Source organism: Homo sapiens, chromosome 13 (assembly GCF_000001405.40).
Source record: "Homo sapiens chromosome 13, GRCh38.p14 Primary Assembly".
NCBI lineage: Eukaryota > Metazoa > Chordata > Mammalia > Primates > Hominidae > Homo > Homo sapiens.
The window spans coordinates 109,553,324-109,571,919 of NC_000013.11; the positions used below are offsets into that span (position 1 = coordinate 109,553,324).

General features: G+C 38.4%; 1 long non-coding RNA gene across 2 annotated transcripts; it reads right to left on the minus strand.

Annotated features, from left to right (window-relative positions):
* Positions 1 to 599: 599 nt before the first annotated feature.
* On the minus strand, positions 600 to 18,081 carry LOC107984602 (uncharacterized). 2 transcript variants are annotated; one of them, XR_001750018.1, is made up of 4 exons: positions 17,997 to 18,081; positions 17,751 to 17,835; positions 7,078 to 7,167; positions 600 to 1,123 (listed from the first exon to the last, which is right to left on the minus strand). It is a non-coding gene; the product is annotated as an uncharacterized LOC107984602 (long non-coding RNA). The 2 variants fall into 2 exon arrangements; XR_007063871.1 differs by lacking the exon at positions 600 to 1,123 and having other exon boundaries at positions 6,410 to 7,167.
* Between the last annotated feature and the right edge of the window lie 515 nt (positions 18,082 to 18,596).

Genomic DNA, 18,596 nt, shown 5'->3' on the forward strand with positions numbered 1-18,596 from the left:
ATAGCTATTCACAAACCAAACCAGCCCAGACAGGGTTCAAGGGACCATTAAAGAATCTTCAGCAACACCATGAAGGAAAAACAAAAAAGAAAGAATACTCAAATAGAAAAGATCATTGGTGAGATCAGCATCCCTGAGATACCAGGAGATGGTGAAGAGCAAAGAAGAAAGGCAGAGGCTATTGGCATCAGACACAGCGGAAATCACAATGGTCCCCAGTGTCCTGCTCCACAGAGGACACCAACATCTTTTGCCACTAAAGTAACCAGTAGCCATTTCCACCAAGGAACCCCAGAAAGGAAGGTGTGCCTGCATATCCCTCCTCCGCCAAGAAGCAGCTGATGATGAGCTGCTTCAAGAAAGGAGCCACGACCTTTCCCAAGTTCTCCCATGCCCTAGTACTGGAGCCTCACTTTCCCACAAGTGCCCATATTCCAGACCCAAGCTCTGTGGCAGTGGTGGGCCTGCCCATGTGTCAGACACCACAGGTATCACCACAGTGAGCTAGCTGGCACTCTGGCCCTAGAGCCAAGCCCTTGATGCTTATACCTATACTCCAAGACCTGGCTCAGCTGCCATAGATAACTAGGCCTCATCCCAATCCCAGAGCCACCGTAACTTTGCATATACCTGTGCTCTTATTCTCAGTTTCCCAGCTGTTTCACAGACATTCATCTCTCACAAACATTACCAACGCAGTAGCAGAAGAGCTGCCTGCACCCTGAGCACCAATAACATTACTGCCCCCCGAAGCCAGAGTCCTTCCATGTACACCCATGCTTCAGGCCTCAGCTCCATGGCCGCTACAGAGGTGGCACTCATCAGACACTCATGCCACCACTACCACAGGGAAGCCCACAAGCCAGACCCAGTACCAACAGGGATCCCCTCAGCCACAACTTCATTAGTGAGAGAAAAAGAGATCTGGAGGACATTAGCAGCCATTGCCACTGAAGATCTCATCAACTCTCACCACCACTATGACCACCCACAACATTAGTCCCTGAGAATCCCTGTAACCTTCATCAACACTGACCTCAGCTGACAGAACTGCTCAGAGAATACACAGCTGTGCCCTCATCAGTGGCAGAACTCTTGCACACCACAGCAAACACTCTCAAACCTATAGGAAAATAAATTTACACAGCAAAATTAGCCCATAAAGTCTGCAAGAGGTGATCTCTTCACCAAATGTGCAGAAATCAATGTAAGGCAACAAGAAACATTAAAAAAAATAATAAAGAGACATAACATCACCAAAAAACCCCACAATAATCTTTCAGTAGCTGACTCCAAAGAAATGGAGATATGCAAACTGTGTGACAAAGAATTCAAAATAATTGGTTTAAGGAAGCTCAGCAGAAACAATTCAACAAAATTAGAAAAATAATAAATGACCAAAACAAGAAATTTAACTGATTTAAATCATAAAAAAAATCAAACAAAATTCCTGGAACTTAAACATATAATGAAAGAAAGAAAAAAATGCAATAGAAAGTGTCAAGAGTAGAAATGATCAAGCAGAAGAAATAATTTATAAACCTGAAGACAGCTTATTTGAAAATGTACAGTCAAAGGAGAAAGAATGAGGATGAATGAAGAAATTTTATGAGATTTGTGAAATAAAATCAAAAGAGCAAATGTGTGAGTTGCAGGAGTTAAAGGAGGAGAAGAGACAAACAAAAGAGTGCAATGATTATTTTTAAAAATAATAACAGAAACATTTCAAATATGGGGAAAATATAAATACCCAGTTATAGAAAGTCAGAGGTTGGAATAAGATTCAATCCAAAGAAACCTACACAAGATATATTATAATCATACTACAAAAATCAAAGACAGAGAGGATTCTGAAAGCAACAAGAGAAAATAAGCAAAAAACATATAAAGGAGTTCCAATAAGGCTAGTAGCATGTTTCTTGGCAGAGAACTTACAGGTCATGAGAGACTGGGAGGATATATTCAAAGCGTTGAGGGAAAAAACTGCCAAGGATAGTGTACACAGCAAAGTTGGCCTTCAGGGGAAAAGTGAAAGAAGGATAAAGACCTTCCCAGACATAGAAACACTGAAGGAGTTCACCATCACTAGACCTATCTTACAATAAATGCTAAGGAAAGTTCTTCAAGCTGGAATACAAGAACACTAATTAGTAACACAAAAACAAATAAAAATGTAAAACCCATTGGTAAGAGCAAGTACAGCGTCAAATTCAGAATACTCTAATAATGTGTTGGTGGTATGTAAATCCCTTATATCTTTAGTATCAAGGTTAAAGGAAAACTATTAAAATATGTAGCCCTAATAAATTAGGGTATTTTCAACAGAAAATTATGTAAATTGTGACATCAAAAGCATAAAGTGTGAGACTGAGGGTGGTAAAAGTATAACTATTTAGTACAATCAAATTTAAGTTGTTATCAGCTTAAAATAGGCTGTTAGAAGTTTTAGATAAGCCTTATAGTAACCACAAAGCAAAAAACTATATTAGATACACAGAAAATTAAAAGTAAGGAATTAAAGCATACCACTAGAGAAAATAATCTAATCACAGAAAAAGGCAGCAAAAGGGGAAGAACAAAAACATTTACAAAACAACAAAATAATTAACAAAATGGGAATAGTCTTTCCCTATGAATAATTACCTTGAATGCAAATAGATTAAATATTTTATTAAGAATCATAGAGTGGGTGAATGGATAAAAAATGAAGACCCAACCATATTACAAGAGACCCATCTTATTTTGAAGGATACAGATGGACTAAAAAGTGATGGGATAGAAAAAGATATTCCAAACAAATGGAACAAAAAGCAGGAATAGCTACACCTATATCAGATAAAACAGATTTTCAGTCAAAAACTATAAAAATAGACAGAGAAAGTCCTTAAATAACAATAAATGTATCAATGAATCAAGAAGCTATAATAACAATTAATACATATGCACCCAATATAGGAGCACCTAAAAATACAAAGCAATTAGAGAGAGACTGCAATGCAATAATAATAAGGGACTTAAATATACCCACTTTCTACCATGGACAATGATCCAGACAGAAAATCAGTAACGAAACACTGGACTTCAACTGAGCCTTTGACCAAATGGACCTAATAGACATACACAGAACATTCCATCCAACTGCACCAAAATACAAATTATCTTCAAATGCACACAGAATATTCTCCAAGATAGGTCATATGTTAGGCCACAAAAAACATCATAACACACTTTAAAAGACTGAAATCATAGCACATATCTTTTCTGATGACAAGAATATGAAATTAGAAATCAATAACAAGAATTTTGGAAAATTCACTAATATGTGGAAATTAAACATGTTTCTATACAAAAGATCAAATAAGAAATTTAAAGACAAAATTTAAAATATCTTGACATAAAAGAAAATGGTAATACAACATACCAAACTTATGAAATGCAGCAAAAGCAGATCTAAGAGGGAAGTTTATAGCAATAAACATCTACATCAAAAAAGAAAAAAATATCTCAAATAAAAAACCTAAAGTTCACCTCAAGGAACTAGAAAAAGATGAACAAACTAAGCCCAAAGTGAATAAAGAAAGAAAAACAATAATGCTCAGAGCACAAATAAATTAAACAGAGACTAGATAAACAACAGTAAAGATGAACAAAACTAAGTGTTGGTTTCTTGAAAAGATGAACAAAATTGACAAACCATTATCTAGACTAACCAAGAAAAAAAAGAGAGAAGACTGAAATAAATAAAATTAGAACCAAAAGAGAAGACACTACAGTTGATACACAGAAATGCAAGGGACCATAAGAAACTACTATGAACAGTTATTCATCAATGTGTTGGATAACCTAGAAGAAACAGATAATTTCCTAGACCCATCTAACCTACCAAGATTGAATCATGAAGCAATCAACAATCTGAACAGACTAATAACACATAAAAAATTAAATCTATAATAAAATATCCCATCAAAGAAAAGTTCAGAACCTGATGGCTTGGTTGCTGAATTCTACCAAACACTGAAAGAAAAACTAGTACCAATCCTTCTCACACTCTCCCAAAAAAATAAATAAAAGGGAATACCTCCAAACTCATTTTACAAGGCCAGCATTACAATTATACCAATCAATGACAAGAAAACCAGAAGAAAAGAAAATTACAGACCAATAACCATGAAGAACTTACATGCAAAAATCCACAACAAAATACTAGCAAACCTAATTCAATGCACATGAAGAATCATTCACCATGTCCACGTGAAATTTGTTCCTAGGATGCAAGGGTGGCTCAAGATATGCAAATCAATAAATGCAATGCACCTCATTAACAGAATGAAGGACAAAAATCACATGATCACTTCAACAGATGCAGAAAAGTCATCCAACAAAATTCAACCTCCTATTATGACACAAACTCTCAACAAATTAGAAACAGAAAAAAAAATGTACTTCAACACAATAAAGGCCATATATACCAACCCAATAACTAATATCATGCTCAACAGTAAAAAGTTGAAATCTTTTCCCATGAGATCAGGAACAAAAAAAGAATTTCCACTCTTGCCATTTTGCTTCAACATAGTACTGGAAGTCCTAGCCAGAGCGACTAAGCAAGAACAAGAATTAAAAAGCATCAAAATTGGAAAAGAATAAGTTAAAGTTTCTGTTTTCATATGACATGACCTTATATGTGGAAAACTCTAAGGACTCTACCAAAAAAACTGATAAAAGTAATAAACAAATTCAGTGTAGTTGCAGGATACAAAATCAATATACAAAAATTAGTAGCATTCTATTTTTTTAGTAGTGGATTCTATACCCTAACAACAAACTATTCAGAAAAAAGATTAAGAAAATATCCCATTCATAATAGCAGCAAACAAACAAAGAGGAATAAATGTAGCCAAAGAGGTAAAAGACTTGTACACTGCAACTATAAAATGCTGATGAAAGAAACTGAAGACAAAAATAAAATGAAAGATATCCTGTGTTCATGAACCAGAAGGATTATTTTGTTAAAATGTTCACATTTTAACAAAATGTGAGCAATTTACAGATTTAATGCAATCTCTATCAAAATAACAATGACATTTTTCACAGAAATAGGAAAAAATCATAAAATCTGTATGGTGCCTCAACAGACTTTCAATAGCAAAACCAATTGAGCAAAAAGAACAAAGCCAGAGGTATCACACCACCTGACTTCCAAATATATGATAAAGCTATCATAATCAAAAGAGCATGGTATTGGTGTAAAAACAGGCATACAGACCAGTGAAACAGAATAGAGAACACAAAAATAAATCTCCACCTGTATAGTCGATTAATTTCAACAAAGGTTCCAAGGATACATGATGGGGAAAGAGTTGTCCCTTCAATAAACGGTATTAGGAAAACTGAGTATCTACATGTAGAAGCATGAAATTGGATGTTTATTTCATACCATATAGAAAAGTCAACTCAAAACAGATAAACAACTTAAATATAAGACCTGACACTGTAAAGCTGCTATGCTAGAAGAAAACATAAGGAAAACATGACATTGGTCTGGGCAATTATTTCTTGGATCGGACTCCAAAAGTACAACAATGAAAACAACAATGGACAAATGGGATTACATGAAAATAAGAAGCTTCTGTGCGCAAAGTAAACAATGAAGAGAGTGAAGAGATAGCCCATGAAATAAGAGAGAATATTTGTAAACCATACATCAGATAAGGGGCTAATATCCAAAATATATAAGGAACTCAAACAACTCAATGACAAAAAAACACCCAACTTAAAAATGGGAAAAGAATCTTAAGGGATATTTCTCAAAAGAAGAGATATGAATAGCCAACAGATGTATTTAAAAAGTCAGTGTCTCTAATCATCAGGGAAATGCTAATTAAAACAATGAGATAACATCTGACACCTGTTAGAATGGCTATTATCAAAAAGATGAATGATAAGTATTGGTAAAAATGTGGAGAACAGGGAACTCTTGTGTACTGTTGATGGGAATGTAAATTAGTATAGCCATTTTGGAAAATAGTTTGGTGACACCTCAAAAAACTAAAGACAGAATTCCCACATGATCCAACAATTTCACTTCTGGGCATGTATCCAAAGGAATTGATATCAGCACTCCCATGTTTAGTTTATCACTATTTACAATAGCCAAGATATGGAAGCAACCTAATTGGTCATCAGTAGGTGAAGGGATAAAGAAAATGTGGTATGTATACACGATAAAGTACTATAATCTTTATCTTTTTTTTTCTTTTGAGACACGGTCTTGCTCTGTTGCCCAGGCTAGAGTGCAGTGGTGTGATCATGGCTCACTGCAGCCTCAACCTCCCAGGCTCAAGCAACCTTCCCACCTCAGCCTCCTGAGGGGCTGGGACTACAGACATGCACCACCATGTGCCTGGCAATTTTTTGTATTTTTTTATAGAGACAATGTAATACTATTTGGTTTTTCAAAAAGAAGGAAATTCTGTCGTTTGTGACAACACAGATAAACCTGGAAGACAATGTGTTAGATGAAGTAAGCCTGTCACAGAAAGACAAAGACCACATGATCTCGCTTATATGTGAAATCTAAAAAAAAGTCAAACTCATAGAAACAGTAAAATGCTTGTTACCAGAAGCTGAGGAGTGGAGCAATTGAGGAGATGTTTGTCAAAGGATACAAAATTTCAGGTAGACAGAAGGAATAAATTCCAGATCTCTATTGTATAACACGGTGACTACAGTTAAAAACAACATATTGTATATCTGAAAAATGCTATGACAGATTTTAAGTATTCTCACTATAAAAAAAGTGTGTGTGATGTAATGCGTATGTAAATAGCTTGATTTCGCCATTCCACAATGTATACATATATTAAAACAACATGTTGTACACTATAAGCACATACAATTTTTAATAAAGAAAAAGAGTAAGACTGGAAAAAGACAAATGTTAAGTTTCACCTGACCCTCTAAAAAAAACTGAAAGAAAAAGAACTTGATATGGAAAAACAGAAAATAAACTCTAAAATGTGATCACAACCTACAGAGAAATTCTGGAGGAGCAATGGATGCACCTGTTCAGCTTACCCTTATCTGGCCTCCACTCCTGGGTCCTGAACTCTGTGAGGAAAGGACTTCGTACTATTCAGCCTTGAATTCCCAGGGTTCACATTGTGTCTGGAAAATAATGGGCGTGCGAAAAATGCCGCTGTTGACTGAATCTCTGCAGTCTATAAGTGGCATATTACAAGAATTCAGCATTAAACTCTCATGACAAACACCTCACCTTGGCGCTTAAGTTATGTAACCCCCCTCCTCTTTTTGTGCCAAATGGGGGTAGTTTCAGAAAGACTCATTTAGTGAGATTTATCTTTCCCAAGCACTGATTCTATACTACAGTTTAAGAAGAAAGCATTTGAATTTTAAGTTTTGATGCAATGTATATTAAGTGAGGGTCTTTAAACAGGAACTTGAATCAGTTCAGGATATATATATATATCCTGATGTACATGTATCTGTACATGTATCTAGGATACATGTATCTGTACATGTATCTGGGATACATGTATCTGTACATGTATCTGGGATACATGTATCTGTACATGTATCTGGGATACATGTACAGAACGTGCAGGTTTGTTACCTATGTATACACGTGCCTTGGTGGTTTGCTACACCCATCAACCCATCATCTACATTAGGTATTTCTCCTAATGCTATCCCTCCCCTAGCCCCCCAACCCCAACAGGCCCCATTTTGTGATGTTCCCCTCCCTGTGTCCATGTGTTCTCATTGTTCAACTCCCAATTATGAGTGAGAACATGTGGTGTTTGGTTTTCTTTTCCTATGTTAGTTTGCTGTGAATCATGGTTTCCAGCTTCATCCATGTCCCTACAAAGGACATGAACTCATCATTTTTTATGGCTGCATAGTATTCCATAGTGCATATGTGCCACATTTATTCAGTCTATCACTGATGGGCATTTGGGTTGGTTCCAAGTCTTTGCTATTGTGAATAGTGCTGCAGTAAACATACATGTGTATGTGTCTTTATAGTAGAATGATTTATAATCCTTTGGGTATATACCCAGTAATGGGATTGCTGGGTCAAATGGTATTCTGCTTCTACATCCTTGAAAAATCACCACACTGTCTTCCACAATGGTCGAACTAATTTACACTCCCACCTGTCAGGTACTAGGAATGATTACAAGAAACAAGTGAGCCTCGTTTATATCTAATACCAAAAAGATGGGCTGAACATTCACCAATCAAGCAGAGATATGCATTGTGGATTTTCTGCAATAGCAAAATGATAAACATCAAATAATCCTGCAGAGCAGGCTATTTCAATTCATTTTAAAAGATCTCTATTGTAGTTAATTCTTCTCATCAGTCATATTGGAAGTCATGTGGCTTGGGGCAGATGACTACCTTATGCATTTCTGTAGCCTCAGTACTTTACATGGGGCCCTCAATATAGTAGCCACTCAATAAATGCACAAGGAAGAAAGGAAGAAATGAGGAAAAGAGGACAGGAAGAGAAATAAGGAATCGAAGGAAGGAATAATTCTTCCCAGTGTAACTGGCAACACCAGCTCTGAGATTTTTTTTTTCCAAGTGAAACCCTTTTTGTGCAGTTAGTTACCAAATTTCAAAATGTCTAAGAATAACTGGGGAACACATTAAACTACGTATTCCTGAATCCTTCAGTCATCTCCCTGTCAATATTCCTACTCAGCAGGTCTGGGGTAGGACCCAGGAGCCTGCATTACTCACAAGTACTGCAGAAAATAGGGTAGAGATGGTCAGGGGACAACACAGAGAAGCACTGCTCTGTGGTGGCAAGCTCTGAGTCCTTAGCAGAATTAATATATGTTCATATTCTACAACAGACCCCACCCTGCTTTTGGAGAACAATTCTGGCTTTGCCTTTAGCTACCCCTCCACCCCACCTCTGTGTTCCATAGGGTAGACTTCCTATTGGGTTCCCTGATTTTTTAAAGGAAAGAATGACTCTACCCCTGCTTATCTGGTTGCCAAGGTCTATGTTCTGTCCCTAATCAGCAATTAAAGCAATCCGTATTCCAACGAATTAATATAATTGTTATCTCCTGCCATTCAGCGGCTTGCCAAAGGTTGATTTCCATCAAACAACACTTGAGCAAGATAATCTAAAGGATGCTACAATCTAAAGAGTCTAAGTTCCATCTTTGGACCAAATCAAAGACTAGATGAAATTAACATTTTAATAAAATAATACCTCCATATCATATCTGACTTTCATGAAAGGTTGCTTAGAGCTGTACGCGGATGAATACTATTTCTATGTTTGCCGTGAAATGGTTGGGGTAAGAGTGCGCATCTTAGCCATCTGAGTCTGCCAGGTCAGTCAGGGGAATGGGAAGAGGAAAGTTCTCTCTTGAGGGTTGCTGTGTGTGCCCAAGCTTTTACAATGGAGTTTGTATAGTGCTGTATCTACTGCTTTCCTGTGGCTGCCACAAAGCTTAAAGCTGGGTGTCTAATGTGCACTTAGCTTCTTCATCCTGCTTGGTTCCAATTTATCTGAATTTTTCATTTGGTGAGGTATTCTTTTTGTTTTATCTTTTTTGTTATTGTTCTTTATATGATGACTTAACTCCTCCCTTTTGGAAAAAGGAAAGATGTACATTCTTTAAAAGTTGAAGTGTTATTATAATAAATGCAAAATCATTGAGGGCTACTTCATCATATATTGTTAATATGCTCTACTAGTGATAATAGTCATTGCTGCTAATTGCAAACAATCCATGTGCATATGAGTGCAGGCTTGGCCACCCAACCCTCATCATGTAGGAGGTTGATCCACCAAGACAAGGTCATTGTTTTCTCTTTACTCTCTTCTATCATTTTCTTGCATCTAATGAAGGAAACTAGCCTGATTGTTTTGTGAAAAATAGTCCACCTTGGAGTTCTGACCTTGTCTCTCTTCTAATCTCTACCTTTCTACATCGGTGGGCTTATTCCCTCCTGTGGCTCTAACTGCCTCTGTATGCTGGTGGGTCTCAATCTAAACTTCCAGCTGCAGAATCTCTTCAAGTTCCAGAGCTTAGGAAAATCAAATAACCTCTCTGCTACTGTAGTGAAGCTCCTGAGTAAATATTGGACACATCAAGGCCTTGGTATTCCATTCAGAGAGTTACTGTCCTCAAGGAAGATGAACGAGCAGAAGTTAGGATGAGTTAATACCTGTGTGTCTTTAAAAGAAAGTTCTATTTTGTAATCAGGATTGTCTAGATTCTTCTTTCTGTGCACATAGAAACTGCCAACAATTACTTAAAAATGAGTTCCATGATCAATTAGTGTGATGTTCCTTGTCTCCTTAGACACTGATTCCTGAGGATCTATAAGGGCATCAAAGTACACCTGTGGTGTAGTGAATCCCAGACACCATTAATTAAGCTTGTCCAGCCCATGGCCCACGGACCACATGTGGCCCAGGATGGCTTTGAATGTGGCCCAAAAAAATTCATAAACTTTCTTAAAACTTTATGAGACTTTTTTGTGTGTGATTTTTTTACCCTCATCAGCTATCATTAGTGTTGTATTTTATGTGTGGCCCAAGACAATTCTTCTTCCAATGTGGCCCAGGGAAGCCAAAAGATTGAACACCCCGGCCATTCATCATAGGGTGAGCTATTGTTCTATGTGCCACGAAGGAAGAAAAGCACTGCCAAATAAACAATGCTATAAAATGTTCTTCTCATTTCAAATTTCTAATTTGTACTTATTGAGAGGTTTAATATCTTTATGAGGCATGATTGACACATGATAAACTGCATATCTTAAAAGCTTTGATACGTTTTACATATGGGCATACCTGTGAAGCTAGCACCACAATCTAAGAAGGGAATCTGTCCACCACCTCCCAATCCAAATGTTCTCTCATGCCCTTTTGTAATTCCTCCCTGACATCCTTCCTTTCAACCTACACTCTTGTTCAAAGGCAAATACTTCTCTGATTTGTCTCTCTCGAACAATTTTCATTTACCAAAATGTTATTTAATTTTATACCATTGTACAAATTTCTTTTTGGGTCTGACTTCTTTCACGACACACAGTTATTTTGGGATTCACCCATGTTTTCATGTTTATCAACGGCTTATTTAATTCTTTGCTGTGTAGTGTTCCATTGTGTGGCTGTATCACAGTATGTTTATCCACTCACCTTTGATGGCATTTTGGGTTGTTTCCAGGTTTTGAATATTACAGAGTAACATACAATAAACACTTTTATATATGTACTTGTGTGGACATGTGTCTTTATTTCTTTTATTTTATGGCCAAATATATAGTCTTTCTGTGTGCATTTGAAACACTGTGTGCTTTGATTGGTCTATAAAAGTCAACTAGGTCAAATTGGTGGGTGATGCTGTTCAGATCTTCTATATTCTTAACAATTTTCTATCTATTTTTTCTATCAATTATTAAGAGACAGGCATTGAAATCTCTGAATTTGTGGAGTTTTCTATTCTCTTTGCATCTCTATCAGTTCTCAGTCCTTGTTCCATGTATTTATAAGCTCCATTAGGTGCATAAGCTAACCCCCTTCTTATAATGAAACATCTTAGTTTTTAATTCCTTAAGTGTTTTGTTGCCTGAAATGCTGAGGGGTTCCCATTGCCCCAACATGACCTAGAATGACAGCTGAGGTCACACACAATGAGGGCAATGGCAACTCCTTTTTTTTTTTTTTTTTTTTTGAGATAGGGTCTCACTCTATCACCCAGGCTGGAGTGCAGTGGTACAATCTAAGCTCAGTGCAACCTTCACCTCCCAGGTTCAAGTGATTCTTGTCCCTCAGCCTTCCGAATAGCTGAGATTACTGGTGTGTGTCACCACGCCTGGCTAATTTTCTTTCTTTTTTTTTTTTTTGGAAACAGGGTATCACCATGTTAGCCAGGCTGGTCATGAACTCCTGGCCTCAAGTGATCCACCAGGCTCGGCCTCCCCAAGTGCTGGGATTACAGGCATGAGACACAGCACCCAGCCGGCAACTCCATCTTGAGTGCTCCTGGCCATCAATGCTTGGAAGATGTGCACACTCTTCATAAATGTTAAAATGTAAAACATCAACATGTGTTTGATAACCAATGACAATATTATGTGGTGTTTGTGAAGCTAATTAGCTGCAGTGATTATTCTTAATGGAAATCTCTGAGGAATAGTCTCTGACAAGTCCTTAATTCACCTTGAGTTATGCCTGTTTAAATGGCCCAAACTCTGTTTAGCTATACTATAGAGTGATATGGAAAATGGGCATCGTCACCATGGGTATGACCAGGTTAGGGTGAGAAGTCGTGACTATGCCTCTCTGAGGGGAAGAGGAGTCTCAGAGGTCAGTGAGGCAGCCCCAGACCCTGCTGCCCTCTCCTCAGGGGTATGGCTTTGCCTGTGTCAGTCTTGAAGGCCCTGGGTCTGTATTTTGTCAGAGATTTCCTTACACTTGTAACTCCATCTGCATTCTGGTCATCTCTATACAGGGGTCTCACAGCATTTCAAACAGAAGACACCCAAAGTTGAAATTCTTATATTTCAGGGGCTGCTTCTCCATCTCTCTTGTCATCTCAGTTAGTGCATAAGCATGGATACAACCACACACGTGCACGTGCACATACACACACGCACACACATACACCGTGTTCCACAGAAGCCATTTCAAATACCATGGCCAGTCATTTCATCCCTTACAGTCTTGCCCCAAACGCCCCTGTAAACGTCATCTCTCCCCATCCCATCCCAGCCTCAAATGACACTTGTGTTTCTGTCACCTTGAAATTCTCACTCTGTATCAGGTGCCCCTTTTTCTTCAATTGACTCATGCCAAGAACATACTTAACTTTTACATTTATATCTAGAAAGTTTTCTCATCCTCTACAACGGAACTCAAAATGTTTTCCCCAGCAAAGAACTCCTACAGTCCCCAGGCAGAAGGGGCTTCTTTCCATACAGCCCCGTTCTCCACTTCAAGCTGCATTTTGGGACAATTCTGTGCCCATGTGCCATCTTCCTGTGTGCTCCTGCTCTAGGCTGTGCTCTGAGGAAACAAAACATGTGTCTACTGATAAATGGAATTGGGAGGGCATTTCTCACCTACCTACCTGTCCCTGGAGATCCCTCTGTTTTGCTTTTTTCCTCTTACACTTGCCTATAGATAACTGGTTGATATGGTTTGGCTGTGCCCCCACCCAAATCTCATGTTGAATTGTTGTTCCCACAATCCCCACGTGTCACGGGAGGGACCCAGTGAGAGGTAATTCAACCATGGGAGCGGTTTCCCGCATGCTATTCTCGTGATAGTGAGTGATTCCTCACGAGATCTGATGGTTTTACAAGGGGCTTCCCCCTTTGTTCAGCTCTCATTCTTCTCATTCCTGCTACCATGTGAAGAAGGATGTGTTTGCTTCCCCTTCCACCATGATTTTAAGTTTCCTGAGGCCTCCTGAGCCCTGCAGAACAGTAAGTCAATTAAATGTCTTTCCTTTATAAATTACTCAGTCTTGAGTATGTCCTTATAGCAGCATGAGAACAGACTAATACACCGGTTGCCTGTGAAGCACCCGCCTCCTAGTTCTTGCTGCTCCTGCTGCTCTCCCAGCCACTAATGCCTGGCGCCCAGGCCTGGGGCTGCTCTGTCCAAGCACCTATCTGATGACCTGCCTGCCCTCAGTCTTTCTTGTGAGGAATCCATGCTTCAGGCATACACTTGACACTGCCCTTGATGGATACGGATAGTTCTCGGGTTATACTGTGAATTCTCAACTTGATGGAAGGGGATATTTACCTACCCCTTTTGGAAAAGCATTAATTCTGGGGAAAGGGCCTGGACTCCTGGCAGAGGGGACCCAGGAGGACCGCTGCCCTCTAAACAGTCTCACGGCTGCCACATCTAAACTGCCAAAAGCAATAAGTTGTGATACTCACACTAAGTCATGATAAGATGAGAAACTAGTGAAAGTAGTTGTTTTAAAATCTCAGTGTGTAAACACTAAAATTGTAGTTTCATATCATTGATCTTTAATTATGGCCATGTGTGCAAATGGGATGCAAAATTGAGCAAGCATTATGTAAATCATTTAAAAAATTGTGAGTAATCAAATGTCATTCACTATTTTATATATTTCTATCCATGCTACTTTAGCCAAATATTGGTCAGTCCCTCTGCCGGGGGCAAACGGAAATGAACAGAGCTTGATTCAGAGATTTCCAAAACAGTGAAAGTCATCATGGTTTTATGTATTATCCAAAAGTGGGGGAACTTCTATTAATGTACTTATTTTAAAACACAGGAAATCTTATTGGTTTTGTTTTTGAAGTGATTTGTCTAAAACTTCAGTCAATATTTTTATTTTACTTGAGAAAGTCCTCTTAAACATTTTAAAAGTCAGCCAGTTTTTTACAATTAGACAAGTATCTTCCAAGAGTTGTGGAGCTTTTAGGCAGAGTTCCCCAGATTATAATGGGAAAGATAAACTTTAAACAGTTTTTATGTAGTCTAAACAAGTATGTCTACATTCTAAGTTGTCATATGAATTTTATTCAGATGTCCAAAGGTTTTCCAATAGATATGTTAATGTTCTGAAAATAAAATATTTTAATATATTGCCGCAAAGTATTTGGATTTTTAAATTTTAATATCTTTTGTTTTCCCATTCAAAAAGTAATATCATCTTTTAGTAAAAAAGTAATGCAATTCAGAGGATTTCCTTCAGCTACATAATTTTTCTTATTAATTCATAATGCCTTAGGAATTACAAAAAAACCCAACATATTGTTTACATTAATTTTTGCTTAGCCAAATTCAAAACTCATTTTGAGCCTCTTTTATATTAAGATTGGTTTTTTCCATTTATTAAATTTATTTATGCAAGAGTTAACAAAAGCTGTTTACTTGGAGTCTTAAACAGTGTATAATGTTTTCAGTGTGTTGAATAATTTTTGTTATCTTTGCCTTTGAATTATTGTGGGATAAAAAGACAGAACAGACTAGTCAGCTGGCCTAACTCCTTCTTGGAAATTTATAGTTAATTTCTGGTCCTACACTGACCATCTGTGCCCGAATATCCAACGTAGATGTTTTCAAAAACAGTTTCTGCTCTATCAAAACAAGAGTTCATGATTCACTTTCAGACTTTGTTCTTTCAACTAACTTGTTTGTTCAGGAAAACAGATTTCCAAGACTTGCACACACAGCAGGATCTCTGTGCCCTGTTTTTACTCCTGGGTTGCTCAGATGACACGTCTTTTGGTCCATAAAACACATGTTAGAGATAATAGATAATTGGAGGAAAGCACAATAATCTTGTGACTGTTTTTTCCAAAGATTCACCAGCCTCTGCCTAGGAAAAGCGCAGGCATATAAAAAGACCCTGTGCCCATGAACAGGAGCTTTTTATCATCACCCAGTCTGGAGGGAGGCCAGAATGCCTCTCTCTGTGTATCTCTTTTGCCTGGACCTGAGAACATGTCAGCATTTCAATGCATTTATCCAGGTTCCATTCCCATTTTTCCCATTTTCCTCTAAACAGGCTGCCTCTACTCTCCAAGTTGACTCCATTCAATCTCTTGCGGCTGCTGCTTCCCTAACTCTGAGTCCTTGCCTTCTGCTACATTTGGTTACAATTAACGTCCAGCTTGTCTTCTAGACCTCACCTGCTCTGGGCTCTGGACCCAGGTGAGTAAGTCATCCTTTTTTGTCCTTACCAATAAATCAAGTCCAACCTCAGGAGAACTACTTCATACATTTCTAAGTGTATGGGAAAACAAAGCAAAACAAAAAACTACCATAGAGGATGTGCCGTGCAAATCTGCTGTAGTGTAGACGGCTCCCTCTCTCTAAATCTACTGTAGTGTAGACGGCTCCCTCTCTCTAAATCTACTGTAGTGTAGACGGCTCCCTCTCTGTAAATCTACTGTAGTGTAGACGGCTCCCTCTCTGTAAATCTACTGTAGTGTAGACGGCTCCCTCTCTGTAAATCTACTGTAGTGTAGACGGCTCCCTCTCTGTAAATCTACTGTAGTGTAGACGGCTCCCTCTCTGTAAATCTACTGTAGTGTAGACGGCTCCCTCTCTGTAAATCTACTGTAGTGTAGACGGCTCCCTCTCTGTAAATCTACTGTAGATGGCTCCCTCTCTATAAATCTACTGTAGTGTAGACGGCTCCCTCTCTATAAATCTACTGTAGTGTAGACGGCTCCCTCTCTGTAAATCTACTGTAGTGTAGACGGCTCCCTCTCTGTAAATCTACTGTAGATGGCTCCCTCTCTATAAATCTACTGTAGTGTAGACGGCTCCCTCTCTATAAATCTACTGTAGTGTAGACGGCTCCCTCTCTGTAAATCTACTGTAGTGTAGACAGCTCCCTCTCTGCAAATCTACTGGATGCAGATGGCTCCCTCTCTGTAAATCTACTGTAGTATAGACAGCTCCCTCTCTGCAAATCTACTGGAGTGTAGACGGCTCCCACTCTGCAAATCTACTGGAGTGTAGACGGCTCCCTCTCTGCAAATCTACTGTAGTGTAGATGGTTCCCTCTCTGCAAATCTACTGTAGTGTAGACGGCTCCCTCTCTGCAAATCTACTGGAGGCAGACAGCTCCCTCTCTGTACTTCTAAGCAGTGGAGGAGACAAGGGACAGGACATTTAGAGCACCTTGTCACTCAAGCACGAAAAGGAAAGAACAGGGCCTGTTGGTAAGTTATAAAGTACACGACACAAGTATCCCACCATGCCGTCCCGCTCAGTGTGGCCTCCATGTGTACTGACTGTGGTAGCAATGGCATCGCCCTGCAACCTTGCAAGTCTAGTCACAGCCCTCTGGTTGGAACTTGAGCTTTGGCCCTAGTTAGGCAAGAGAAGGAAAACTAAAAGACGAAAGATGTGCTTGACTTATGCTTGAGTTAGGATTTTCCTTATGTGACAATTCAGGTAAAGACACCCAAGCTGAAGCTAAATTCTGAGGTCACGGGCCCTGTTCTTCCTGACCCTCAGGCCCTGCATGTATTTCCCACAGAGTTTCTCCAGCTTTTAGGAAGAAATGATATCCATGAGTGTTTTTCATACAATTGGTTGGATAGAAAGCAAAACTGAAAGAACAGCCAGGTCGGCGGGTTTCTGCTTTCTCGTCCCCACTTCCTAGAGAGATAACCACAGGCAGGTTGTGGGCCTCTTGGCAGCATCAATGTTCAGCTGCTCCTGACACTACTGACATGCAGTGCTTCTCTCACAAGGTTGTTTGAGGATCAAATAAGAAAGAACTTGGTAAACAATAAATTATCACGTGTTTCTTCCTGTCTCTTTCCTATTTCATTTCTTCTAGGTCCTTCTTTCATTCCCTTGTTCTGTTCCATCCTTTCTTTTTCTATTTTTTAATTGATTTTTTTTTTATTTCAGTAGGTTTCTTGGGGAACAGCTGGTGTTTGGTTACATGAACAAGTTCTTTAGTGGTGATTTCTGAGATCTTGGTGCACCCATCACCCGAGCAGGATACACAGTACCCAATGTGTAGTCTTTTATCCCTCACCCCCTCCCACACTTTCCCCCGAGTCCCCCAAGTCCATTGTCTCATTCTTATGCCTTTGCATCCTTATAGCTTAGCTCCCACTTATAAGTGAGAGCACACGATGTTTGGTTTTCCATTCCTGAGTTACATCTCTTAGAATAATAGTCTCCAATTCAATTTTCCTTCGTCTAGTCCTTCTTCCAGCAATTGCTTAATTACCTTCAGTTTGTTTTTTATCTTCCTCATTTTCATCTTCTTTACTTCTTCATCTGTCCCCATGTTTAATTCTGTCCTTCTCTTTTCTCTATATAAGTGAATTCAGGAAATATAAATAAAAGAATACCTTACTATTTTATGATAACTACCAATGGAAAGAAGAATAAAACCAGATTAATCTAAATTAGAAACTAAAACAAATTTCATATACATATACATATATATATATATATATATATTTCCACTTACTATGGAGTGAAGGATGAGATGGTACATCTTAGATAACTTTACCAATAGATGTTAATAAAGTATAATTTTCTGCTAAAGGTCTTCAGTCTGAAAATGAATTTATTCTGAGAAGTTATTTTATTTTAATAGGCAGACACACAGACATACAGACAAAGACATACACATGGGGAAGTAGTGGGGATGAGAAAAGTGAGAGACAGGAATAGAAGAGAGAGAGGGAAAGAGAATCGGAGAAGAGTCAACTAAAATATAAATACTTGGATGCATAATATGGAGCATTAGTTCTAAAAATTCTGTGTATGAAAAAAAAATGCTAGAAAAGCTTCATCTAGATTTTAAGCCCAGATCCTTGGCCCCCAACTCATATGAACTGACTTAGTAGAGCTAGGTGTTAACCTGGAATCGCTATTGTTTAACATGCACCCCAAGAACTTTTAATGCAGTTGGTCATTTTTCAGGTCATTGAGACTGATTTCAGATATGGTTTTTACAATAGATTCATCTGGGAAACTTTGACAATAAGGATGTCTGATGTTGAATGAGGTCCAGACACCTGTCCATACCCTCAGTGATTCTAATATTCAGCTGCAGTTGGGAGTT